Raw genomic sequence first — 24,429 nt, 5'->3', positions numbered from 1 at the left:
TTCAGTAAAGATGGGGTTTCACCATGTTGGCCAGGCTGATCTCAAACTCCTGACCTCAAGTAACCTTCCCACCTTGGCCTCCCAAACTGCTGGGATTACAGGCGTGAGCCACCATGTCTGGCCTATTTTGTTTTTTTAAAGAGACAGTATCTTGCTATGTTGCCCAGGCTGGTCTCAAGCTCCTGGCCTCAAATCCTCTCGCCTCAGCCTCTCAAAACACTGGGCTTACAGGCATTAGCCACTGTGCCAAAAGAAGTCTCTTTCTTTCCTTCTTTCCTTCCTTCTTTCTCTCTCTTTCTTCTTTTTCTTTCTTTCCTTTTTTGAGACAGGGTCTCGCCCTTTTGCCAGGCTAGAGTGCAGTGGTGTAATCATAGCTCACTGTAGCCTCCAACTCCTGGCCTCAAGTGATTCTCTCACATCAGCCTCCCAAGTGGTTAGGACCACAGGTGAACACCACCATGACTGGCTAATTTTTTTTTGTTATTTTTTCTGTAGAGATGAGATTTCGCCATGCTCCCCAGGCTGGTCTCAAATTTGTAGGCTCAAGCGATCCTCCCACCTCGGCCTTCCAAACTGCTGGGATAACAGTCATGAGCCACCATGCCTGGAATCTTGTTTAACTTTTTCTTTTTTCTAAGAAATGTCAGGCTATAAACCATTCTTAGAGCTCACTGGTTTCTGAACACCAAGTGTAGAAATAGCCACTTCCTCTTTGCCCAATATCACGGGCACAGCAGACTGCCAGCATCTGCGGTGCTGGCATGTTCCGGAAGGCATCTTCAGGGTAGTCACCCACACCTACTCAGCAAGCCAGAGACACCCAGCCTGTGGCCAGGGTGGGAATCCTTTCTTATCTTTTAAAGCTTTCTTGGCCAGACGTGGTGTTGCATACCTGTAATCCCAGCACTTTAGGAGGCCGAGGTGGGTAGATCACCTGAGGTCAGGAGTTAGAGACCAGCCTGGCCAACATGGTGAAACCCTGTCTCTACTGAAAAAAAAAAAATTAGCTGGGGATGGTGGCGGACACCTATAATCCCAGCTACTCAGGAGGCTGAGGCAGGAAAATCACTTGACCCCGGGAGGCGGAGGTTGCAGTGAGCCAAGATCATGCCACTGCATTCCAGCCTGGGCAACAAGAGCGAAATTCCATCTCAAAAAAAAAGGAAAACAAAAACAAAACTTTCTTATCCATTTTTCCATCTTTTTCTCTATTTTTTTTTCTTTTGAGACACTCTGTCACCTAGGCTGGAGTGCAATGGCACAATCTCGGCTTACTGCAAGCTCCACCTCCCAGGTTCAAGCAGTTCTCCTGCCTCAGCCTCCAGAGTAGCTGGGACTACAGGTGCGCACCAACACGCCTAGCTAATTTTTGTATTTTAGTAGAGATGGGGTTTCACCATATTGGCCAGGCTGGTCTTGAACTCCTGACCTCGTGATCCGCCCAGGCTCCCAAAGTGCTGAGATTACAGGCGTGAGCCACCGTGACCAGGCAGTTTTTTCTAAGTAAACAACAACCCTTCACTCACTCACTAAAGTCAGAAACAGGAGACTTCTCTTTTCCTCACCCCCATTTGAAATCCATTAGCAAATCCTGTCAGTTCTGCCTCTGAAGCATTCCAAAGCCAGTCACTCACCTCCGCCTGGACTTGAGGGAAGCACTTGGGTGTGAGTTCTCGTCCTATTTGCCTGGATCACTGCAGAAGCCTAAACTGGTCTCTGCTTCTCCTCCTACCTCATTCAATCCATTCTCCACACAACTTTCAGTGGGATGGCTTAAAAATGTGAATTATATGTCGTTCTCTCACTTAAATTTCCCCAGAGGATTCCTATTGCACATGAAATAAAATCTAAGTTTCTTATCCTGGTCCAAAGGCCCTGGGTAATCTTCCTTCTCTCCAGCCACTCTTCCCCTTGCCACACTGACTTCTTTCCTATTCCTTAAACAGGTCAATCCTTTCCCATTTTGATACCCTTAGTTTTGCTTTTCTTTGACCTGGAGCACTCTTCTTCCTCTTTCCTTCCTTCTTTCCTTCTTTCCTTCCTTCCTTCCTTTCTTCCTTCCTTTTCTCTTTCTCTCTCTCCTCTCTTTTCTTTCTTTCTTTCTTTTTTCTTTCTTTCTTTTTCTTTCTTTCCTTCTTCTTTCCTTTTCTTTCTTTCTCTCATTCTGTCACCCAGGCTGGAGTGCAGTGGCACAATCTCAGCTCACTGCAACCTCTGCCTCCTGTGTTCAAGTGATTCTCCTGCCTCAGCCTCCCGAGTAGCTGGGACTACAGGCGCCCGCCACCACGCCCGGCTAATTTTTTATATTTTTAGTAGAGACGGAGTTTCACCGTGTTAGCCAGGATGGTCTTGATATCCTGACCTCGTGATCCGCCCGCTTCTGCCTCCCAAAGTCCAAAGTGCTGGGATTACAGGGGTGAGCCACAGCGCCCGGACTTTTTTTTTTTTTTTTTTTTTTTTTTTTGAGACGACGTCTCACTCTTGTCACCCAGGCTGGAGTGCAGTGGTGTAAGTGCAATCAAGGCTCACTGCAGCCTCGCCCTTCTGGGCTCAGGTGATCTTCCCACCTCAGCCTTTTGGGTAGCTGGGACTACAGGTGCACACCACCACACCTGGCTAACTTTTTGCTTTTTTTTTTTTTTTTTTTTTTTTTTTGTAGAGACGGGGTTTTGCCTTGTTGCCCAGGCTGGTTTCAAACTCCTGGACTCAAGCTATCCACCTGCTTCAGTCTCCCAAAGTGCTAGGATTACAGGCACAAGCCACCGTGCCCGGCCTCTTCTTCTTTCTTATCTTTTAGGTCTTAGCTCAATGTCACCTTAGAAGAGCTTTCTGATGCCACATTCTAAATTAGCACCCCCTCCTCAGTTCCGCTCGGCCACAGTACACAGGTTCTTTCTTTCACTGCACGCACTGCATGCTCCCTTTAAAGAGTTATTTTACTTTTTGTTACGTCTCCCCACAACTTCAGTGTAAGGTCTGTGAGTCCAGGGACCTTGTCTGTCTTGTTCAGTTTTCCCCAGGACCCAGCAAAGCCCTTGGCGCATGTAGGTGTCATAAGTGTTTATCACATGCAAAATGAAGTGCCAGAGCCAATATTTGACCTCAGTCTTTGTGACTCCAAAACTTCAGCCCTTTCTCATACCTTTTTGCTCCCAGGGCAGCAACCTGGTGTTGGTGGCAAGGGTGCTTGAGAGTCAGATTTGGCTTCTGCAGCCACTTTGGAAGTGCCATTGGGCAATTCCTTTCTTCTCTCTGGGCCTCAGTTTACCCATCTATTCTAAGATGCAATATTGTTGATGCTCTGAGCCACAGGGACCGTGCCAGGGAAGGGAACAGAAGCAGATGGTTCTATGTCCAGCAGGGGGCGCAATGGGCTCGCTCAACTTCTTTCTCCGCATGGGTCGACGGCCTGGCTCTCCAGTTCTGAGTGTCAGGGTGCCTTCTTGTCCACACACACTCTACCATCTCCTGTCACTGCCACCAAATACCAGGGAGGGGTTTCTTTTTTTCTTCCATAATTTTTACCTTTTAAAGTTGTGGGGCGGCTGGGCATGGTGGCTCACGCCTGTAATCCCAGCACTTTAGGAGGCTGAAGCTGGTAGATCACGAGGTCAAGAGATTGAGAGAAGCTTGGCCAACATGGTGAAACCCCGTCTCTACTAAAAATAGAAAAATTAGCCAGGCGTGGTGTCATGCGCCTGGAATCCCAGCTACCCAGGAGGCTGAGGCAGGAGAATCGCTGGAACCCGGGAGGCAGAGGCTGTAGTGAGCCGAGATCGTGCCACTGCACTCCAGCCTGGGCAACAGAGCAAGACTCCATATCAAAAAATAAAAAATAAAAAAAGTTATGGGGCTTTTTTGTTTTGTTTTTTTTTTTGTTTTTTGAGACAGAGTCTCACTCTGTCACCCAGGCTGGAGTGCAATGGCATGATCTCAGCTCACTGCAACCTCCGCCTAATGGGTTCAAGTGATTCTCTTGCCTCAGCCTCCCGAGTAGCTGGGATTACAGGCTCACGCCACCATGCCCGGCTAATTTTTGTATTTTTAGTGGAGACGGGGTTTCACCATGTTGGCCAGGCTGCTATCGAACTCCTGACCTCAGGTGATCCACACACCTCGGCCTCCCAAAATCCTGGGATTACAGGCTTGAGCCACCGTGCCTGGCCTATTATAGATTTAGACTTAGAGAAAAGTTTTGAAGATCCTACAAAGTTCCCACAGACCCCACAGCCATTTCCACCTGTTACCAACATCTTACACTTACATGATACATTTGTCACAATTAATGAGTCAATGTTGATACAGTATTATCAACTGAAGTCCATACTTTATTCAGACTTCCTCATTACCTTGCATCCTTTTTCTGCTCTAGTATATTACATTCTATTTCATCATTATGTTTCCTTAGGTTTCTCAGATTTTCCTTTTTGTTTTGTTTTTGTGGCAGGGTCTTGCTCTGTTGCCCAGGCTGGAGTGCAGTGATGTGACCATAGCTCATTGCAGTCTCTAACTCCTGGGCTTAAGCAATCCTCCCACTTCAACCTCTCAAGTAGACGGAACTACAGGTGCATGCCACCACGCCCAGCTAATTTTTGTTTGTAGAGATTGGGTCTTGCTTTGTTGCCCAGGCTGGTATTGAACTCATGGGCTCAGGCCGTCCTCCCACCTCGTCCTCCCAAAATTCTGGGATTATAGGCATGAGCTGCCACAATTGTGTGGCCAGACTTTCCTTTTTTTTTTTTTTTAATGACCCCAGGGAGGTTTTTATATGGGACTCCAATGCATGTCTTGAGCTCATGGTCACTTAAGATTCCCTCTGGGGAACTTAGGAACACATTTTTACAGTAGAAACTGATGAGTCTAATGAAACCCTTTGACTGAACTTCAGAAGTGTCCTCTCAGCCATGTGCACCTGCAATCCCAGTATTTTGGGAGGATGAGGCAGGAGGATCACTTGAGCCCAGGAGTTTGAGTCCAGCAATATAGTGAACATTGCCAACAAAGAAAGAAAGAAAGAGAGAAAGAGAGAAAGAGAGAAAGATTCCTTTCAAGAAGACATTTTGAGTGTGTCTGTTATGTGCCAGTCCTGTGCTCCATGCCAGGGTCCTCCTGGGGCTGACAATCCAGTTATTTTGTCCAAGTTGGAGAACAGATGCACAAGGAAGGCAGAGGGCAAAACTCCACCCTCCTTTTCCACCCAAGGACCCATCCAAGTTGGAAAAATAGTGACAGGTCCCTAGGAGTGTCTTCCTTCCCATGGGACTGTCTGAAGGGCATGGCCCCAGAGCTGGAGGATTTGGAATAAAAGGAGGCTTAGGGGCTTTCTCAGGTTGTGCCCTCAGTTCCTGGAACCCAGCCTCTGTACTTCACTGGGGAAGCCTTTGAGGTCACCGTTGCCTTCTAATTCAATTGAATAACTTAAGTCAATTCTGTGCTTCTCTGCTTATAAATGGACACTATCAAGTTCTAACAGCATCTTTGGGAGATAAGTACCATGTTTGTCAGCCCTGCTTCACTTGTGGAGAAACTGAGCCTCAAGTCCCATTTGGCAAATAATTGGTGGAGATGAGATTTGAATCCAGGGTTCGCTCTGTCGCCTAGGCTGGAGTACAGTGGTGCAGTCTTGGCTCACTGCAACCTCCACCTCCCAGGCTCAAGAGATTCTCCAGCCTCAGGCTCTCATGTAGCTGGGACTACAAGTGTGCACCACACCCAGATAATTTTTGTATTTTTTGTAAAGATGGGATTTCACCATGTTTCCCAGGCTGATCTCAAACTCCTGGGCTCAAGCAATCCTCCTGCCTTGTCCTCCCAAGGTGCTGGGATTACAGGCGTGACCCACTGTGCCCAGCCCATCTCCTCATTTTCATTTGCCCCTCACCCTACCTTGTGGCTGTTTGGGCTTCAAGCTTGGAGGAAAACAGCATTTTTGGAAACTTTTTTCTCTTGACTTACTGAGTTATATTCTGCTCAGCTCTACTTTACAGACCTGGAGAGCAAAAAGAAGGGGTTTCTCACCCCACACTTGGGAGAGAGGACCCTGCTCCAGCCCACATTTGCCCTTCTTGAGTAATCTGGGATGAGATGATTTGGGATGGGTGGTGATTCACTGGCTCTGCCAGCAGAGAAAACAGCCCAGGGCTGGGATGCAGATGCTCTGGGTATGTTGCCCATCCACCCATGCCTGTCATCAATTGTGGGAACAAATAACTTTTTACCTGTGGTCCTCAGTTTCTTCATCAGTGAGATGGGCTAATATGCCTGCCCAGAAGAATTGTTGCAGCAAATAAGAGAGGTAAAAGTGTGTGTCAGCTGAAAGCCCTGTGCAAGGATAACAGACGTGGTTATAATTTCCAGTGAGTCGATCCAGGGCCCCACAAGGAAGTTGCTTCCCTGAAGGACCAGGTGAAGAAAGAACTTGTGAGCAGAAGCTTCAAACCCATGCCCAGACCCAACATCAAATTGAATCCTCATGTCCACTCCTAGGCCCTCTGTCCCCTCCCACACCACGAGCACTGCAAGCCTGGCGCAGAGAGGAGATGCCAGTATTCTCTAGTACTGGACGCCAAGCACCTTGAGGGCAAGACATAACATCTGTTTCAGCCCTAAACTTTCCAGCTTCTAGCACAGTATGGGCCACACAATGTACATGTGGACGTTGAGTGAAAGAATGAATGAATGAGTGAATGAATGAATGAATTCACAAGTGGATGAAGAAATGCTGGGGCCATAAACAGGTCCAGCTTTTACCTCCTGGCCCCCAGGCTCCCATCCAAGCCTCCCAAACTTATCCTCCACCCTTCCTTTTACACAGCAGCGCATGACACCAGAGGTACCAAAAAGGCAAACTGGACTTTATTATAAAGTTGGCTACAAAGTCACCGCAGCACCACGAGGTGGCCATCTGGGCAGGCCCAGGCAGTCTGGCGGCCGGGTGAGTCCCGCACCAGGTACACGCACTCGTGCAAGCACACGTGTGACGGCAGGTCTGCCTTCCTCCATCGGAAAGGAACGTAGCGTCTCTTCGCACCCCCCACCCCAGGCGCGGGGCGCAAAAGTCACAGGAAGGGCCGCCAGGGCGGCAGAGTCCATCGGAATTGAAATCCCGTTACTGGTGTGTAGAGAATTCTACGTGGGTGTCAAGAGCCCCTCAGGGCACGGGCTGGCCCGGGTGGGCCCTGCCTTTCCCCCACCAAGGCTAGGGGTGGCTTGGCCCCTAGGAGTGGAGAACTGGCCCAGGCCAATGGGGCAAGGCGGCGGGGAAGTGAGACTCCCCCATTCTCCGCTTGAAATCCCATTCAAGGAAACTCACTACGAGTGAATACAGATTGAAATGGAAACTGGGATCGCTCGAAGTCTCTTGATTTTAAAAAGAAGCTCCCCTCCCTTGCCCTCCCACCTCCCCCCCCCCAAAATCCTGCAGGGCCTGGGGAATCATATATATCCCCCTCTGGCCCTCAGAATCCCCCCAACAGTCCCGGGGGGGTGGAGAGCGGCTCCACGTCTTGATGACAATATGCCATACTTGACGACGTTAAGTCACAGACTTATTCAAAACGTTGGTTCCCCTCCACTTCCATCTGCAGAGAGATAGATAGAGAGAACACAATCAGTTAGACCAATTAGCACAGAGGATCCTGGGGCTGAGAATGTGTTGGTATTAGTATAGGCTTCAAAGATATTGGCTCAATGATGAAATGATGGCCAGAGGCTCAGTAGATTAGGGGGCAATTTGGATGGACGGAGTGAAACTGTGGCTGTAGTTTAGGAAGGATGGGGCTGTAACCAGGGAGCTACCTCAATGGAGTCAGGGGCTGAGCCTCGTCTTTCTTTTACCAACTTGCATAAATTCTTGCTCTGTATCCCCTTCAGGGAGCTAGGATACTAGGATAGAGCTCTAGTCCCTCTTCCATCAGTTTGTTGTGCACCCTAAGGAAAGTCTGTTTAACTCTGGGACCTTGATTATTTTCATCTGTAAAATGGGGTGCTGAAGACTGATCTAGGCCTCTCATGGAGTTAAGCACAAGCCCTTACTTAAGAATTCCCTAGCACTCTATCCCACAGCCCCAACCCCTGCCAAGTCTGCTTGTTCAAACTTTCATATTAAGTCTTTCATTTTTTCTTATCTCCACTGCTACTCTCTTCAGCAGGGGATGTCATCCCCTTAATAAAATCAATGTACAGAGAGGGGGAATTGATTTGCCTAAATCTACCCAGCATTTCATTGGCAGGACAGGGACTTGAGTTCTTGGACCTTTTGGCTGACTCACCTTCATGGAAGCTGTCTTGAACTTGGCTCTGGAGTTGATGCAACTCATCAGTAAACCCATCATAGGGGAATGCTGAGACACCTGTCTCAAAGGCGGTTTCATATGTGGCCAGGTCCTCCAGGAAGCTGTGGTCTTCTGGGGACAGGTTGTTGCAAGGCGATGGGGCCCCTCCTGGGCCCTCTGCCTCAGGATCCCCTGAGCCCCATTCCTCACTGGGATCTGGGGTAGAGAGATCCATGAAGATGTCTTCCACGGGCGTCTCTTCCAGGAACATGTTATCAGGGTCAGCCAGGAAGTCCAGCTCCTGGCATTTCCAGGGTTTCAGGTCCAGGCTGAGCACAGGGGGGCCTGCCCCTGACAGGGACAGGTTGGAGTCCAGGGGCTCCAGTCCTCCAAGTGGCTCTAGTCCGCCAGTGCCAGCCTCAGCTGAGAAGGGTCTGTCCATGCCCTGAGCCAATTGGCTAATCTGCTGGATGAGACGGTCTATCTCATTCTGCTCCTTTTCAGAGTAGTGGAAGAAACTCTGCTTGACTGGAGAGGCCTCAGGTGTGAGCAGGCCTTCGGGCACCAGGGGGACATCCACAGAGAGGGGGCCCCGGAGCTGGGCTAGGGCCAAGAGCGTGCAGTCCCCATTACCAGGGCTGCTAGGACTTGGGGGCAACTTCTCATAGAGAAAACTGCATCCCTCCTGGGCAAAGTAAGTCTTGGTAGGGTTGGGGCTCAGTTGCTCTGGGAAGGTTTGGCTGGGGCTGTCCAGGTGTGCTTGGAATGCTGTGCTGGGAGGAGTCAGCTGTTCATGGGCAGGGCTGCCCAGAGGCTCTGGGAAGGTGGCTGTGCTGGGAAGCAGCTGGTCTGGGAAGGTGGAGGTGCAGGGAGTCAACTGGTCTTCATAGCTTCTGACCGAGGTTTCAGTCAACTGGCCTTGCAGTGGGCTAGTTAGTGGATCTGGGAAGGTTGCACTGCTGGGCGTCAACTGATCAGAGAAGGTCGCAGTGCTTGGAGTCAGCTGTTCTTGAAGAGTGCTGGATGGGGTGGGCAAATGGGTCTGGAAGGGCTCATGGAGGCTGAAGAGGAAGGCACAGCCTCCTGGCTGATGGGGCGTGTAAGGTGGAGTGCACACAAGATCCTTGCTTAGTTCTGCTTGGAGAGAAGGCTCAGGCCCAGAAGGGAATGTCAGGTAACTGAAGTCCAGTTCTTTGGAGGGTCGGGGAAGCTCTTCTGATGCAGAGACAACACTCAGTTCAGGAGCACTGGGGAAGCTGGTGCTTCTGGGAGCCCCCAGTGCTGCGGTGAAGAGTGGGTTAGTGCTGGAGCACTCTTCCTGGGAAAGAATGTTTTCAGGGAATGAGGGCAGCATGGTCGGAGTGCCCAGGACATAAGCTGCCTGGGTGTCTTCAGAGTTCAACTGCTGGCGGAGGCTCCAGGCTTCCATGTCACTGGAGAGGAGAGAAGAGGCAGCTGGTAAGGGTCCGACGTCCATATCCAGAGCAGTTCCCTGATTTGTGTCTCCTCCATGACGACCTCAGCTGCCCCCTAGTCCCCTGGCTTGTGGCTTACCTGATTGGGTAGTTATTGGCAGTAATGGGTCCCTCTGGACCTTCTGAGTATAACAGGCAGTAAATCCATGCCCAGCCTCCAGTCTTGGCCTGTAGCCTCACCACCATCTCTGCCTGAATATCTCCACTCTCAGCCACTGGGGAGAAAGAAGATGCAGAGTTAGGATGTCCACCAGGCAATTCTACCTACTCCCCACCCTTGGTCACCTCTCCACTGAATTGAGATAGCCGTGACATCCTCTCTTCTGACTACCCTCACCTGAACCACTCAGCTCTCTACCTTGACCTCACCACTCAGAGTCCCCCAGTTCTGATTTGATTATTGCCTTGAATCCTCACCTTCATGTTCACCCTATAGCATCCGAAACTGTTGGCCTCTGTTATCTCCCCAGCATCACTCTTGACTACAGATCATTCTTTGTCTGGTCTCCCATGCCCTTTCCCAGCTTGCTATCTTGTCCCCAGCCTCTCTGGACACTCACACAGGCGGTAGTGTTGAGCAGAAGCGTGGGCCAGGTCCTCGGGGTGCAGCAGTCCATACCATGATTTACAAAGCAGTTCACTGCGCTCAAAGCCCAGGTAGATTAGGACACTGGGAAGGTGGAAAGGGTGAGGTCAGCTTTCTGTTTTCCTTGCTTGATACCCATGCATCTCACTCCCTCCCAGATCCTCTGCCCCCCTAAACCCCATCCTCCCTGCCCCTGACTCCAGAATCTAGGGTCCCTTCATCTCTGGCCTGCCTTTCTCTTGGAATCTGAACACTCCAGGCTTACCTCTCGGAGATGTCCAGTAGAGCCAGGTCTTTAGCATGGCGGCTCTGGAACATGGCCAGGAAGAGCGAGGCAGGGCCAGGGCCAGGGCCAGGACCTGGGCGGGGTCTCGGCTCCAGAGGGGCACAGAAAGCTGTGAACACGGGATTTCCTGCCCAGTAGGCTCCAGGTGGGTGAGCATGGAATCGGCCTCGAATAAGCACGAGTTTGTTGCCTGCACTCTGGCGCCTGAGGGACTTGGAGGTGTTGAAGCGGCAGCGGAAGAGGCGATCTAGATAGATGAAGAGAAAAACAGATAAGAGGGTGAGTGGCTGAGAGAGAGACAGTGGATGGTGGGGAGAAGGGCAGCAGGTGGGAAATTGGACCGAGGAAGGGAGAAGGGAGTCCTTACCAGTGTCCAGGGCAGAGGGCAGGGTGAGTTGCTGGCGCACAGTGAGGTGGTCAGCTGGGTCAATGATGTCGTAGATGCTGTCACCCTGGGCAACCAGGTCCACCTGGAGGGAGGAAAAGAAGAGATGACCATTAGGGAGAACAGCAGGAGCCAATCTTTGATCTACAGTATCTTGTAGGGTATAACCTCTCCCTCCATAGTAATTCCCAGTTCCTCAGGAGTGGAAGGCTCACGGCACCCACTCCATGCCCAGCCTCAGCTGAAAGGACCCTTAGCACTCACCATGGAGTGGCCCAGATGCTCGCTCACACTCTCAGACAGGTAGAGCAATTTCCCCTCGGCTGTGAACACAAGCAGAAAGCCGGGTAGTGCCGCTACGATGTCCTCAAGCTCTTGAGCTGAGAGAAGCCCCGTGGGGCCCGCCAGAGGAGTGCCTGTAGGGCGAGAAGACGTAGTGCGTCAGGAGTAAGACTGGGAGGCAGAGAAGAAGTGAGGAAGGCATGGTCTGAGTTTCAGAGAATCCAGAGGAATTTCTCATGGACCTGCCTCTGCAAACACCTGTTGACCCGCTGCCCGCAGCTCTTGGCCAGGGAACCTGTTGCTGTATCTCCATAGCCCACAAGCCCTCGACTTCTAAAGCGGGGTCGGCTCCTCTCGGCTCTTAATTTCAGAACCGCGGACAGAGCTCCAAAGCGGCTCTGAATTTCAGAACCGCGGACAGAGCTCCGAAGCCGACTGTGGGTTCAGAACCATGGACAGAGCCATACACGGCCGGCGCAGCCGTCAGCACCATGGGCAGCGCCCCGAAGGCGACAGGAGATCCCTTTCAGCACCGCGGACAGTAGCTATGTTCCCCTAGGCTCAGGCAGCTCCATCCCTGCAACTTCCCGGGCTTCCCTCCCCGGCTCCCGGAGCGCTTCTGCACTGGCGGGCACCGAGGCCGCTCTGTCCTGGCTCTTATCCTCTCATAATCTGGTGTTAGGGACACCGTCCAGGCTCTCTAACTCTCATTCAGAACTAAGGTGAGGTCTGGAGGGAGCTCAGGAGGAAAAGTAGAAAGTCCCGAATCTCCCGAGTCCCGAATCTCCCCAGCTCGCCAGCACGCTGCCCTAGACATGCGACAGCCCCAGCGGGTTCCCTCAGCTCCAGGGTCTCCGGCGCCTGGCAGCTCGGATCTGCGGTAGCCCCAGCATGCTCACCACCAGCGAAGAAGACGCCCTTGCGAGTGTAGATGCAGGCGAGGCTCATGATGTGCAGGTAGGACAGCCGGACCTTGTCCGCTTCGGCCAGCGGCAGCAGCTCCTTGAGGTTCCGGATCTCGGCGTTGATCTGGTCCCGGCGCGCCTTGGAGGCGCCCTTGGTGGAGCGGTACATGACCGGCGGCTGCGGAGCTCCAGCTCGGGTGCCCGAGCACCTGCGCTCCCGTCCCGACGCACCGGCGGCTTCCTCCTCCGTGCTTCCCCGTCTCTCGCTCAGGCTCGCTCTCTGCTCTCCTGGGCTCCGCTCGGCTGCGCTGCCCCCCTCGCCTGCCTCACGCCGCCTTATATAGCTCCTGCCAGGCGTGGGGGGCTCGTTTTAGAGCCGGGGGGGCGGGAGAGCGGGAGGCTGGGCTAAGCAAGCTGCAGCGGGAGCCGCTGACTGGGGAGGGGGGCTCCTCCTCCCGCCCGGCTTCCGACGTCATCTCATGACGTAGAATGAGAGAGGGAGGGAGGCGGGCGAGGGGGGAGCAGGAGGCTGCGGAGGGGGCCAAGCCTGGCGGGAGCTGAGCGGAGAGGAAGGCGCTGCGTTAGGAAAGCTTGAATGGAGTGTGGGGACCCTGGCGTCTGAATGCGTTCAGTTGAGGGAAGCGACAGGGCCAGGTTTAGGGCGGCCTGAAGCCCGCGGCAGGAGTCCGCAGAGGGCAGAGAGGGGCCGGCACTGACACTAATTTTTCTGAGGAGTTGAGGGAATGGGGAAGAACAGGGTTGTCTACAAATCCCCCTCGTTACTTGACAGACAAGGTCACGTTCACATGCAGGGAAGGAGGACTTTCCTTGGCCTCCGTGGGACAGGTCACTGCTGGGGTTCCTCTCTGGGGACTATTTAACCTGGGATTCCCTTGGCCATTTTTAGAGAACAAATTCCCGCCCCCGCTTCCCAAATCGGGCCTTGGCGGCTTATCAGGGGGTGTTCATGGGGGTCTAAGTCCCGAGGATGGGTGGAAAGGGAGTCCGGTGGGAAAGGGACCAGCTGAATTTGGCGTTGATCCTGTTTTCCCACAGCCAAGAATAGAAACCAACATCAGCGCTGTAGTCTGCAGTGATTCGTGGTTTCCCTCTCAGCTAATTAACCTTACTGAAGGGGAAACTGAGGCAGGGACGTGGGGGCACGGCGAGGACCTGGGTCTGCACTTAGGCATCCCTTCCCCCCGTTGCCGGCCCCCAAGCGAGCGCTTCCCCCCGCCCTGCTGCCAGCCTCTGTCTCCCCGCGGGCCGGGGGCGGGGGCGGGGCCGGGGGAATCCCAGCTCCATATTAGGACAGGAATCCTCCGGCGGCTGCCGCGGCTGCGGCGGGCGGGGCCTGGCTGCCTCCGCACCGCTCCGGAGGGCTCCCCGCCCTGCCTAGGCGGGCAAGATGGGGGAGCAGCTGAGAAGCGAAGGGGCAGCGCCGGACCCTCCATGACCCCTGCACCTACCAGGGACCCTGTATTTTTGCCAGGTTCCCTCCACCCCTCTCCACATTTGCGCCTCTAAGGCTCCTGGCTCTGCCTCTCCACCTTCAGCTCTCCACTTTCCACCTTCGTTTCTTTTTCTGTCCTTTCATATCCTTTTCTATCCTTTTCATATCCTGTCACCTTTGCCCTATCCCCACCCCCCCACACACCCGCTTTTTTTCTCTTTTCACCACAGATGATTGCTCTCTACAGGGGCGAGGATGTGCCGTTCTTATCCTGGGATTCAATAATGCAAGAAGCAAGTGGGCTAGGGAATGTTCTTATCTGAAATCTCGTTTGATGGAGTAGCTGTGTGCGCATGGAATCACTTAAGTGGCTGGAAATGAGGCCACTTAAAAATTGGAGGGTGGGACTGGGAAGTCCCAGTCACACAGGAAGCATGGAGATGAACTTTGACATCAAAAAGGACAATTTGGGGCCAGGGAACTCTCCGCTCCTCATGGAAAGGGGTGGTAGTAAGAGAGGTAGAGTGGGAGGAGAGGCGGCTGAGGAGAAGTATGTCTTAGAAGAGGTGTACAAGGTGTGGAGACCCTATTCTGGTGTCTTATGCATTTTGGCAGAGGTTGGGGCCATCCTGTGGTCAGTGTCACAGCTGAGGTGGAGGGAACGATGTCCGCTTATCTGTCTGCCACTGTCTCTAACCCCATTGACCTGGATGACAGAGAGATGATTCCTCCTGGACATGGGTCTGTGTTGCTTCTTTCTTCTCAATCTGACCTCTAATGTACCTACCCACCCCTCTCTCAATCTTCCATTTGAACAATCCCTTGATCTTTGGATCCCCTTCCGTATGAAATTCCAGGGGGGTTGTTCCTGTGTTCTTCATTCACTGATGCTAAAGCTGCCTGTGAGGCATTCTGAGTGTCCCCCTCCACAATAAGAGGAGTCTACTGGCTGGGTGTCATGGCCTCCAGCAATCTGAGCGAATCTGCAGTGAAGGAATACTGCGCCGACCGCTGTCCGTGGTGCTGAAAGAGTCACCATGGAAGTCATGCTACGGTTTGCCGGGGACATCGACGTAGGGCTTGGGTACCCACAGGCCTCAGAGTGAGCCTACTCTTTGACTGTCCCCTTATTCTCTGTGAATGAATATGGAGGGTTTGCAGGGGGCCAAGATTTCTGGGCTCTAAGGGTGAAGTAAGCAAGGGAGGAGAACTGGGCTCAGGGGAAGAGCCCCTGGCTTTTTCCAGGAGAATGGAATGGGAAGAAACACTTTGGAAGGGAAGAAGGGTCTAGAAAGGGACAAGGGAGGGGGTAGAGAAGGGCTCATCCTAGTTCGCCCACTCTGATTCAAGTTGAGAAGCTCTGTGTGCCCCAATGTCTCCTCTCCCTAGGCCAGCTCCCACTCCCCTTGCCTCCCACCTCCGTGAAGCTATTTTTAACTGTGCAGAACCAAAAATAGCTTGGCAGCAGCTTCAGGCCGTGGGAGAGGAGCTATTTATATCACCAGTGACGGTTCCGAAATAGCAAGCAGGAGGAGGGGGGCGGCTGGCACACTAGAGAGCTCCTGGCCGCTGCTAAAAATACTGGCAGTGTGAGTCATCCTGGCCTGGCTGAGTCACCCCACTCTCTCCCCCAAGTGGCAGGCAGCAGCAGAACAAGCTAAGAATTAGAAGCCTGAGATGGGGGAGGCATCAGAGCCTGCTGGCTGTGGGAAAGTGGGCAAGGGAGTGAATTGGGAGAGGGGCTTTGGGGTGAGCGTGTAGAAGGAATGGGAGAGCAAGCCTCTCAGCCAAACCTACTGGGCAAGCGTGCAGCATCCTCAGCTATGCACTACTGCTCAAGGATGCTTGGGCAATTGAAGGAAAAGAGCCAGACTCTGTGTGTGTGTCTGTGTGTTTGTGTGTGTGTGTGTTCATTTGACTGAGACTGTGTTTGTGTGTCCTGTGTGTCTGCCTCCAAACCTGTCTGGAGGTGGTTGGATGTCTACATCTCTATCTGTTTGCATGTGTCTTTGTAGCTGCGAGTCTGTACCCCTGTATATCTATGTTTACCTATGCCTGCATCTATGCTTGTCTTTTTTTTTTGTCTCCAACTTCCTATGTTCTGTGCAGTTCTATGTTTGTGCCTGTGTGTATTTATGTCTACAATTTTCCATATGCCTTTCTGTCAGTGTCTGTGTTTGTGTCCATATCTGAGTCTGCTCTGGGTCTTTCAGCATCTGATGGTGTGGTGGGATGTACATGCGTCCCCAGACTCAATATAGCTTCTGTTGCCCTCTCTGAGGTCACCCGTTGAGTTCCTGCACCATCTATATCTTGCTCACCTCTTTCCACCTAACATCTTCTCCTCTTTCCAAAGGCCCCCTAACCATTTGCAAAGCTCTCTTGTTGCATGCAATCTCTAGTAAAAACATGGAGGAAAGGAGCCCCACATGACCTCTCCCTTTTCTCTTGAATCATCCTGAATTCTCCCTGGCCTGCAGGAGTAAGTGGTTTTCCATCACTCCATATTTGGAGAGCTGAGAGAAGAGAAGGGCTTTCTTTAGTTCTAAAAAAAAAAAATTCCTGGTGTGGGCACAGGCATGTGTAGCGCGCATGCACACACACACAGGCGCACATACACATGCACGCACACACACACAACTGAGAGAATGAGAGAGAGAAAAAAATATCAAGGTCCCTTCTTTACTGAGACGAGCTCGCATCTGTTGCCATAGCAACCCACCCACTCCTTCCCCGAAAAATCACCGAGAAGAGGTGATGGCATCGAGGAGGGATTGGCTGATTCCTTTCTTTATTATTTTTTCCGAAAAAGGGTTTTTGTAGCAAAAACAGGCCGTGAGATCCCTTGCTCCTGTCTTGCATAGCTTTATTGGGAAACTGGGGGAGGGGCATCACCCCCCAGCCTTTATCAGAGAAGAGGAGGTGTATCTTTTCCAGAGATTTGGAGGAGGATTACCTCCTGGGAAGGAGTTGAAGGGTGGGTGAGGAATCTGCTTCTTCAGAACAGCATGGAGACTCCTGGCTGCTAGTCTGGAGATTTGGAGCAAGGATCTTGACAGAGGGCTGTCAAAGTGTGATCTTGTCTTGCTCTGGACAAATGTGTCTATGAGAAAGAGAAAGGGGGAGGAAGGGAAGGGAAGTGGGGAGAGACAGAAAGAATATGAATGAATGAATCACTGAATGGGGCTTCAGAGAAAATGACAATATGCCAAAGGATGCAAGCTTGCAGTAGTGGTCAGACCAGACAGGTGGGCAAGATGGTCCAAGAAAGATGCATTGATGCAATTGGTGGTGCTGCAAGTTACCAATGAGACCACAGCTGCAACTACTTAACTTATGGCCATAGGTTAATGTTCCAGAGGAGCACTGAAGCCCATTTTTCATAGTTCTATTCCCAGCCTGAGTCTCCAAGGCCTCCTCCAAAGCCTGGCCACCAGCCACTGCAGCCATATCACTCTCTCAAGTGAACTGTAGCTTGTTGCCAAATGACTGGATGGTGGAAAGAAAGGGATTCCTTGTTTCCTCCCGTGCTTGGCTTGCTACAGAAATGGGGTCACTTGGGGCTCGAGCTTGGAAAGACAGATGAAGAATCTGACCCTGGAGAGAGACACCTTCCTTTCTGGCAGGCTGCTGCTACCCTCAGCAGGCAAGGGCATGGCCAGCTGAGGTTGGCATGGGCAGTGGGTGCAAATCCACTTAACGTTATGAAGCAGAGGGACAAAAAGACTTCAGATTTGCTCTGGCCTGTTAGACACATTCTCACGACAAATCTGGCTGATATCATTATTGTTATTTATATACAGTCTTGCTCTGTCATCTAGACTAGAGTGCAGTGGCCTGATCATAGCTCACTGCCACCTCAAACTCCTGGGCTGAAATGATCTTCTGTGTCAGGATCTCGAGTAGCTGGGACTACAGGCATAAACTACTACACCCAGATAATTTAAAAAAATTTTTTCTGCCCAGGCTGGTCTTGAACTCCTGACCTCAAGCAATCCTCCCACCTTGGCCTCCCAAAGTGCTGGAATTACACGTGTGAGCCACGACACCCAGCCTTGACTGATATTATGATGCTCATTTGATAGATGGTGAAACAAAGGCTCAGAGATAGATAATGACTTAATCAAAGTCACACAGCAAGTCTGGCAATGCTGAGCCTCACCCCTAGTTCCTGCTCCCAACCCAAGCTTTCTCTTTTGCACCACGTGATAGGGCTAGGGTTTACAAACTATGGACTGCAAATCTAGCCACATCTAGCCTGCTGCCTCCTTTTGTAAATAAAGTTTTATTGGAACACAGTCACATTCATTCATTTACTCATTGTCTATGGCTGTTTTCACATTACAATGGAAGAGCTGAGTAGTTGCAACAGAGACCATATGGTTCAAAAAGCCTAAAGAACTTTTTGACACTTTTTACTAATTGATCCTTTAGAGAAAAAGCGTGCCATCCTTAGACCAGAGGATGAGTTCACACCAGGAATATCTCCACTTGTTTCTCTTTCTCACCCAGAAAGCTCTCTTAACCCAGGGTATACCAAGCTATCATTTCAGCCCCCTTTACTGTTCCAAAGGCCATGGAGAAGTAGTGCTCCTGGACAACTTAAAGGAGGAGAGGTGGGAAGCCCAATGGGTCAGGCTCCTTATTGGTTTCCAGCCCCTTTTGTGGCTGTGGAGATGTACCCTCCCCATGCAGGATGATGCTCCACTTCCTGCACCAGGAGTTGGAACAGGCAATGAGGAGGCAGGGTACCCCATTCCATCCCTATTCCGACCCTAGTCTTCAGGACTGCATTTTGGGCAGGGGGGTCTCAGGGCTGGTGATTAACGAATTGTCAGGAAGACAAAATTTACATATGGGAGGAAAAGGAAGGTATTGTGGGATATTGGGCCTCCCGAAGCCTCCAGTCTGACCCAGGGGGGAAGAATCTCTCTATGCCTTCTCAGAGAGGTTGATTAACTTGCCTAGGATCACACAGCTAGAATGAGATAAATCCACAATTGAACCCAGGTTTTCCTGACTTCTACTGTTTTTTTTCTAGGTTGTTCTTTTGAATTGGTGGATTTGAAACCAGGGAAAGGTTTTCTAACAGATTCCTAAGCACCTCCCCATCCTGCGTCCATGGCTCCGCGGTCAGTGCAGTGAGAATAGGAAACCCACGCAGAGCTGGCTTGTGCAGTGACCGTGTTGTCTTCCGCTGCATCTTAGCAAGCTGTTTTCCTTTTCCTGAGGCCTTTTCATTATGCTATCACTCCCTCAATTCTACTTGCACATGAAAGCATTCAGAACATTTTATCTATTTATGGTTATGAAATCAACAAAGCTCATGTAAAGAGGGTGCAGGCTGGCACCCACGCATTGAGACGGCCAGAGCTGGGTGAATGAGCTGAAAGCCAGGAAGGTGAGGGACATAGAACCATGGAGGGGGTGGGAGAGGGAGAGTAGAGCCCAGGTGGGAAAAGATGAAACTTTTGTGGGCAATGTCCTGAAGGCAGGGCTGAGAGAAGAGGATGCAAGGAATGCAGTGAGGAGCAAGTCAGAGCAGCCACATTCCAAGAGGGGAAAGAAACCTAATCAACTAAAGCCACTTTTCAAATGCAGAGCAGCGACCAATACTCTTGACCTGCCCTGGGGAGGCTGGAGGAGGCGGATTTTCCTCACATTCATTTTCAGAGTCCTCTCCACCACCACTCCCAGCTGGCAAATTCTGGCCCTTCTGGTCCTCCAGTGAGGTCCGGGGACCCCCTCAGTGCCCCCCAGCCCCTGTGCTTCCTCGTCACCGCACTCTGCACCCTGCATTGTCCCTGTGTGTTTACTTGGCTGTCTCCCCTACCAGCATCTACAACTGGTCTTCATGTTCCCAGCATCCAGCACAAGGCCTGGCACAGGGCAGGGGCTCAGGCATGTAAGTCATTCATGCAACAAACAGCTGAGGGCAGAGTTTGTGCCAGCCTCTGCAGTGATGTGATGGTGCCCACAGACAGCTGGTCTTGGCCTCATGGAACCTGCAGGCTGGTGAGAGAGCAAGGGGTCCATCCAGCCACTTCAGTGGGATACTGCTGTCAAGGAGGCATGCTGGGAGTTTGGGGAGAGCAAAAGGAGGGGTGACCCTGCCTGAGGAGTTGGCACCGGCCTCCCCAAGCAGGTGCATTTGAGTTGAGCTGCTGGTGGCAAGTCAGTGTTGACTGGGCCAGGCTGTGCTGGGTGGGTGGCTGGGTGGACAGAGGAGTGTGGCCTCATAAATGAGATTCAACACAGTGCCAGGTAGCCACAAAAGAAGCCACTGTAGCTGAGGTTGTGTTAACAGGGACATGCAGCAAAAGTGGAGAGAGGGCAGCCTCTGTCAGGGCCAGGAGGTTTGGCTCTAGGACTTATGCTATGGGTCCAAGCCTAGCCTTGAGCAGAGCAGCCAGTGAGGAGGAGCCAACTGCACCCAGGGCTGTGAGGCAGGGCCCAGGCCATCCCCCAGGCCTGCCTCTGGTAAGCCCTCCAGCCTGTCTGGCCTCATGCACCCCCTTGCCTCTCTTCCAGCTGCATAAGCCTTCTTCCAGTCCCTGGCCTGCCACCCTCCCGGCCGCCACAGTGCTTTTGCACATGCTGTTCTCTCTCCTGGGGTGCTGCTGCCTCTCTCCTCTGCCGAGTTCTTCCTAATTTCCCGTTAGTTCAGCCTAAATATCGTCTCCTCTGGAAAGCCTTCCCTGACATTACCGCTGAGGCCAAATCCTCAGTTACAGGTTTGCAGGCACCCCAGGCCTCTGTTGGCACTTGGTGAAATAGCGATTTAATCCTTTATTTTGGTGAGGAATTTATTGTCTCTTGTCCACTAGACTGTGGTCACCATGGCAGGGACTGTGACTGCTTTGCCCACTGTCAACTCCAGCGTAAAGTGCTTCATAAACATTTGTAAGAAATTTTTAAAAGATGGAAGGAATGGAGAGATGTTCCTCAGAGAAGAGGAGGCTTGAGGAGGTGGTGTGGCATTTGCAGATGTTTGAAGGACCATCAAGAGGCAGTGGGAGAGACACGGTCCACGTGGAAAGGCCAGTGGGAGGGGATGTACCTGAGGCAGGAGAGGGTGGCGGGGGAGGAGAATCTGGGCTGAGTCCTGCCTCCTCCACAGACTGCCTTTGTGACATCGGTCAGTTAAGTGACTTAACCTTTTGTGCCTCAGTTTACCGATTTGTTAAATACAGAAGTGGGGAGAATGATGGCACCCCTATCAAGGGACTGATGTTAGCATTAAAGGAGTTAATTAGTTAAAACACTCAGAAAATGCCTGATGCATAAAAGGAGCACAAGAAATGCTCACATGGCAGAATGTTGGTCATTATCTTAACTTTATGAAAAATATAATTTTGAACAAGGCTATGCAGAGACGGCAGGGGCTGGTTCAGGAGGCAGCACATGTCCTGGCACTGCAAGTGTAGAAATAGCCTGGGTACCCACCGGCAGCTTTGATCCAGGCCAGGTCTGAGAGCACCAGATGGAGTAAACCAGGCTAAGGCTGCAGCCTGGAGAAGTGGAGGGATGCACATAAAGTGCCCCTCAGGGCTCTGGCTCGGGCCCCAGCAGGCTCCTTCCCCGGGCAGCAGCTGCCCCCTCCACTGCTCACCAAAGCCAGAGACGGAGGTCCCGGGCCGGGCCCAACACACCCTTCTGGTGCTCAGCAGCCCAGCTCCCCTTGCCATTCTTCCGGAAGCCAACCTGACCATGTTCTTCCCAGCTTAAGACCCTTGTGGCTCCCATTATCTCCCATTACTAAAAACTCCTCCAGGCTGGCACCTCCTTTCTTCCCCTTCCACCAACAGATACCTCAGCCTCCAGAGGCTCCAGCTTCAAGTCTCTCCTTGTTACTATCAGGGCACAGCTCGTAACATAGGAGTTTACAGATGAGGCACCTACCCACACCTTGTGTACCTGATGAGTGTATTAATTCATGAAAACCTCACAGCAGCCCTATGACATGCCAGCCATCATTACTCTCACAGGCCCTGGGCCAACAGAGAGGAAATCTACAGGGAACAGTCCGGGGGTCCCAGGAAAGACTGATGGGATTTAAGGCTCCAGTGGTCAGAGAAGGTCAGGGACTGGGCCGAGGGGCAACAAAGAGGAGACCCCCACGAGCAGGGAGAATGGTGCTCCCCATGCTGGGGAACGCGGGAACCACAGGGAGTTGGGTGAACCATGGTGAGCAGGGGAGAGTGACCCTTACGGCTGCTGATGGAGCAGCTTCTGAAGCCAAGAAGGGCTGAGCACTGGTGGGAGGGGAGGAGCACCAGGAAGCTTTGGTGGAAAGGACCATCAGGTTGAAGGGAAAGCCCCTGAATTGCCATCCCTGACAGGCTGTGAGTTGGGAGAGCCTTCTGCCAAGGAGTCCAAGGTCCAGGAAGAAGACGAGCTGAGCTCAGTCTAGATGTCAGCGGATTATGTTTGGTGCAGGGGAATAGTTCTGAATAGGAGCAGCAGAAGATGCAGATTCTGTTCCCAGCTCTACCACTAGCCTGCTGGGCGTGTTCTGCAAACCTCTCTCCCTCCCTGGGCCTCAGTTTTTGTATTTGCAAAATGGCAGTGGGTCAGACCCCTTAGCCTCAAAGGGCCCTCCCAACCTCTGGCACTTGAGCATCTCTGAGCCTGCTGGGCCACCTGTCCCAGTGCCTCTTGGGCTTTGGAAGTTGAATGCTGCAACCCCAAGCCCCAGTTTCAGGTAGGGATGAGCCCATTGCCCAATGCTGGGGTCCGAGTGGGCCTGAAGGCTCCCAGAGGACCACGTTCTCAGCCCTGGATGGGCAGGGACCCTGGAGACCTGGCCTGTGTGGACACAGGGGAGTAAGTACTGGGACTGAGCCTGTAGTTTTGCTTCTTCCACCCAACCCGTTGGGGGTCGTTCTCACAGCTTGGTGCTGGGTACACCAGGGGACTCACCATTGGAGGGATCCGATGGGTTCCAAGGTGCACAAAACAGACCCCCAGGTCATCCTCAGGTGGTCTACACAGCCTGTGGCTAAAGCAACTGCTGTCTCCAGCACTTCTTAGCTTCAGTCTGGTGAAAGGAAGAAAGTCCCCTTGGCAGTGTCTTACAGGCAGTCATAGAGGGACCCCACAGCCTGGCCAAAATGCTCAATTTCAGAAAATCCCAGACTCATAATTGGAGTGACGGCCCTTGAAAGATGGTCTTGGATGACTGAGACCTAATGCAGAGAGTGGAGTGACCCCAGTGACACACGGCCAGCACTTGGTGGAGGTGGACCCGGACCAGGTCCTTGGTTCATGGTGCAGTGGCCATGTGGGCCTCCCACAGGCTGTCCTCTGGGGCCCAGGTGCTGAGGAGCCTGGGCCAGGAGGCAGAGCTGTAGGTCCTAGTCTTAGCGGCACCCTGACTTGCTGTGCGACCTTGGCGAATTGTGTCTGAGGGCCGCCTGAGTCTCCCCCTCTGCACTGAGGGCTTGGCGCTGGGAGCAGACGCTCTGTTAAAGCACCATTCAAGGTCCCAGAGCTAGGCGCTGGGAGTGGACGCTCTGTTGAAGCACCTTTCAAGGTCCCAGGGCTGTACCAGAGCAGGAACTTCTCTCCTTGCCACCCTCGGAGCCCTCAAGTGCTGCTTGTGTGTTCGGCTCCACCTCTGGGTCCCCCATCCCGGTCCAGAGACCAGCCCAGAGATGTCTGGAATCCACGCAGCTCCTTGAGAATGGTCAGGCACTTCTCAGCTGCCCTCCCAGGTCCCGGTCAAACGCCTCCAGGAAGTGCTGCAGGGAGAGAGCAGAGGTCAATAGGACCGGGCAGGGGGTCCAAAGGGCTGGGTCCACTTGACTCTGGGGAGCCCTGCCGGACCCCTGCAGGCCACACCTACATCCAGAGGCCAATTGGTCCTTGTAGGCAGTCTGGGGAAATGTTTGGTTCCAGAAAGTTCCAGAGCTGGTGGCTGCAGGAATCCTTCAATGGAGGCGATGTTTGCAAGCAGCAGCAACCTAGTTGGTTGGTCGTGGAGTCCGTGGCATCCAGAAGCTTTTCCAAAAAGTCCGCCCAGGTCCAGACTGTGCTGGGGAAGGAGAGGCAGCTGGTGCCATGACAGAGGTGTCCAGCCCCTCTGCTTGGTGCAGGGCAGGGGCTGGATACTGGCACACGGGGCTGGCTATGCTCAACCATAAGGAATGCCTTGACCTCTGGCCAGGAGGTCAGCATCTGTGGGTTCTGGCCCATGCTCTTCCTCTAGGAACGTGCCATGTGGCCCTAGTCAATCACTACTTTTCTCTGGGCCTCAGTTTCCCTTCCAGTTTAAGGAGGGGGTTGGAGCAACTGGTAAGGGGCTTTCCCAGGATCCTAACTCTGCTCCAGGCTGAGCTCAGGGAGAAAAAGTTTAAGGGGTCGGGGGCGCCTGGAGGGAGGCAAAGGTCTCCAGGGTCCCATGGTGGCCCCAAGGGTAGTGAAGTCCTCACCTGGTGTTTTCACCCTGTGGCCTTGTCCAGAGAGGATCCCCGAAGGCGCTAGGCCTGGCATCTCGTTTCTTTCCAAGGTTTGGACAGAAGTCTCCCCTGTTGGAGGAGCAGGGCGGGGGCGAGGGGCAAGGGCAGGACTTCCCTTCTCCCTGGTTGAAATGTCTCCATAGAGGGTGGGGGGCGCTAAGATGGGGGTGGTGGGGGCGTGTGGCGCCGGGGACTCCCCGGCCCGGCGCGGGGCTCGCGGCTCGGGGGCGGGGGCAGCTCCCAGGCTCTGGTGGAGCCGCCACTCCGCCAGTTGCCTTAAAAAGGCGCCAGCGCGCGCGCATCAGCAGAAGGGCTGCGGCTCTC

At 52.7% G+C, this 24,429-nt stretch overlaps 1 protein-coding gene and 1 non-coding gene across 7 annotated transcripts, besides 8 other annotated features; both read right to left on the bottom strand.

Moving 5' to 3' along the window:
- Positions 1-638: 638 nt before the first annotated feature.
- On the bottom strand, positions 639-778 carry LOC124900311 (small nucleolar RNA SNORA43). Its single transcript, XR_007063006.1, has one exon. It is a non-coding gene; the product is annotated as a small nucleolar RNA SNORA43 (small nucleolar RNA).
- Positions 779-6,833: 6,055 nt separating this feature from the next.
- On the bottom strand, positions 6,834-24,383 carry NPAS4 (neuronal PAS domain protein 4). Of its 6 annotated transcripts, none has more exons than XM_047426764.1 (11): positions 24,079-24,383; positions 23,493-23,681; positions 22,568-23,388; positions 12,187-12,539; positions 11,270-11,421; positions 10,988-11,090; positions 10,600-10,867; positions 10,309-10,418; positions 9,828-9,963; positions 8,271-9,706; positions 6,834-7,580 (listed from the first exon to the last, which is right to left on the bottom strand). In XM_047426764.1, the coding sequence occupies exons 3-11, from the start codon at positions 22,618-22,620 to the stop codon at positions 7,552-7,554; spliced, it is 2,640 nt and encodes an 879-aa protein (XP_047282720.1). In that variant the 5' UTR covers positions 22,621-23,388; positions 23,493-23,681; positions 24,079-24,383; the 3' UTR covers positions 6,834-7,551. The 6 variants fall into 6 exon arrangements, with proteins under 6 accessions (XP_047282720.1, XP_047282721.1, NP_849195.2 ...); XM_047426765.1 differs by lacking the exon at positions 23,493-23,681 and having other exon boundaries at positions 22,568-22,685; positions 23,173-23,388; NM_178864.4 differs by lacking the exons at positions 22,568-23,388; positions 23,493-23,681; positions 24,079-24,383 and having other exon boundaries at positions 12,187-12,506.
- Positions 11,617-11,931: a silencer, noted in NCBI's record as "fragment chr11:66189081-66189395 (GRCh37/hg19 assembly coordinates)". NCBI's record gives its function as "represses an EF-1alpha promoter that drives an FKBP-Casp9 reporter gene in an ReSE screen in HepG2 liver carcinoma cells {active_cell/tissue: HepG2}" and the evidence as "EXISTENCE:reporter gene assay evidence [ECO:0000049][PMID:32094911]".
- Positions 11,617-12,460: a biological region, named in NCBI's record as "Sharpr-MPRA regulatory region 12876".
- Positions 11,629-11,923: a silencer, noted in NCBI's record as "tiled region #12876; HepG2 Repressive DNase unmatched - State 12:CtcfO, and K562 Repressive DNase matched - State 8:EnhW". NCBI's record gives its function as "represses a minimal TATA promoter and a strong SV40 promoter by Sharpr-MPRA in HepG2 and K562 cells {active_cell/tissue: HepG2 | K562}" and the evidence as "EXISTENCE:reporter gene assay evidence [ECO:0000049][PMID:27701403]".
- Positions 11,864-12,460: an enhancer, noted in NCBI's record as "H3K27ac-H3K4me1 hESC enhancer chr11:66188552-66189148 (GRCh37/hg19 assembly coordinates)". NCBI's record gives its function as "activates a minimal SCP1, AML or CMV promoter by ChIP-STARR-seq in primed H9 embryonic stem cells {active_cell/tissue: H9 hESC(primed)}" and the evidence as "EXISTENCE:reporter gene assay evidence [ECO:0000049][PMID:30033119]".
- Positions 14,803-15,303: an enhancer, noted in NCBI's record as "H3K4me1 hESC enhancer chr11:66185709-66186209 (GRCh37/hg19 assembly coordinates)". NCBI's record gives its function as "activates a minimal SCP1, AML or CMV promoter by ChIP-STARR-seq in naive H9 embryonic stem cells {active_cell/tissue: H9 hESC(naive)}" and the evidence as "EXISTENCE:reporter gene assay evidence [ECO:0000049][PMID:30033119]".
- Positions 15,304-15,804: an enhancer, noted in NCBI's record as "H3K4me1 hESC enhancer chr11:66185208-66185708 (GRCh37/hg19 assembly coordinates)". NCBI's record gives its function as "activates a minimal SCP1, AML or CMV promoter by ChIP-STARR-seq in naive H9 embryonic stem cells {active_cell/tissue: H9 hESC(naive)}" and the evidence as "EXISTENCE:reporter gene assay evidence [ECO:0000049][PMID:30033119]".
- Positions 18,938-19,456: an enhancer, noted in NCBI's record as "H3K27ac-H3K4me1 hESC enhancer chr11:66181556-66182074 (GRCh37/hg19 assembly coordinates)". NCBI's record gives its function as "activates a minimal SCP1, AML or CMV promoter by ChIP-STARR-seq in naive and primed H9 embryonic stem cells {active_cell/tissue: H9 hESC(naive and primed)}" and the evidence as "EXISTENCE:reporter gene assay evidence [ECO:0000049][PMID:30033119]".
- Positions 19,457-19,975: an enhancer, noted in NCBI's record as "H3K27ac-H3K4me1 hESC enhancer chr11:66181037-66181555 (GRCh37/hg19 assembly coordinates)". NCBI's record gives its function as "activates a minimal SCP1, AML or CMV promoter by ChIP-STARR-seq in naive H9 embryonic stem cells {active_cell/tissue: H9 hESC(naive)}" and the evidence as "EXISTENCE:reporter gene assay evidence [ECO:0000049][PMID:30033119]".
- Positions 24,384-24,429: the final 46 nt, after the last annotated feature.

The sequence above is a fragment of the Homo sapiens genome, chromosome 11, assembly GCF_000001405.40.
Source record: "Homo sapiens chromosome 11, GRCh38.p14 Primary Assembly".
Taxonomy (NCBI): domain Eukaryota; kingdom Metazoa; phylum Chordata; class Mammalia; order Primates; family Hominidae; genus Homo; species Homo sapiens.
The sequence above is the reverse complement of the archived record's forward strand: the minus strand, read 5'-3'. Positions and strand labels throughout refer to the sequence as shown.

What these genes read in the sequence shown, in the direction of transcription:
- NPAS4 (XM_047426764.1), bottom strand. Translation starts at nt 22,620, where the DNA reads ATGACCTGGGGGTCTGTTTTGTGCACCTTGGAACCCATCGGATCCCTC. An exon ending in CCCATCGGATCCCTCCAATG is followed by an intron (nt 12,540 to 22,567) that starts GTGAGTCCCCTG and finishes CACGCCTGGCAG; the next exon opens with GAGCTATATAAGGCGGCGTG. An exon ending in TCAAGACAGCTTCCATGAAG is followed by an intron (nt 7,581 to 8,270) that starts GTGAGTCAGCCA and finishes ATCTCTCTGCAG; the next exon opens with ATGGAAGTGGAGGGGAACCA.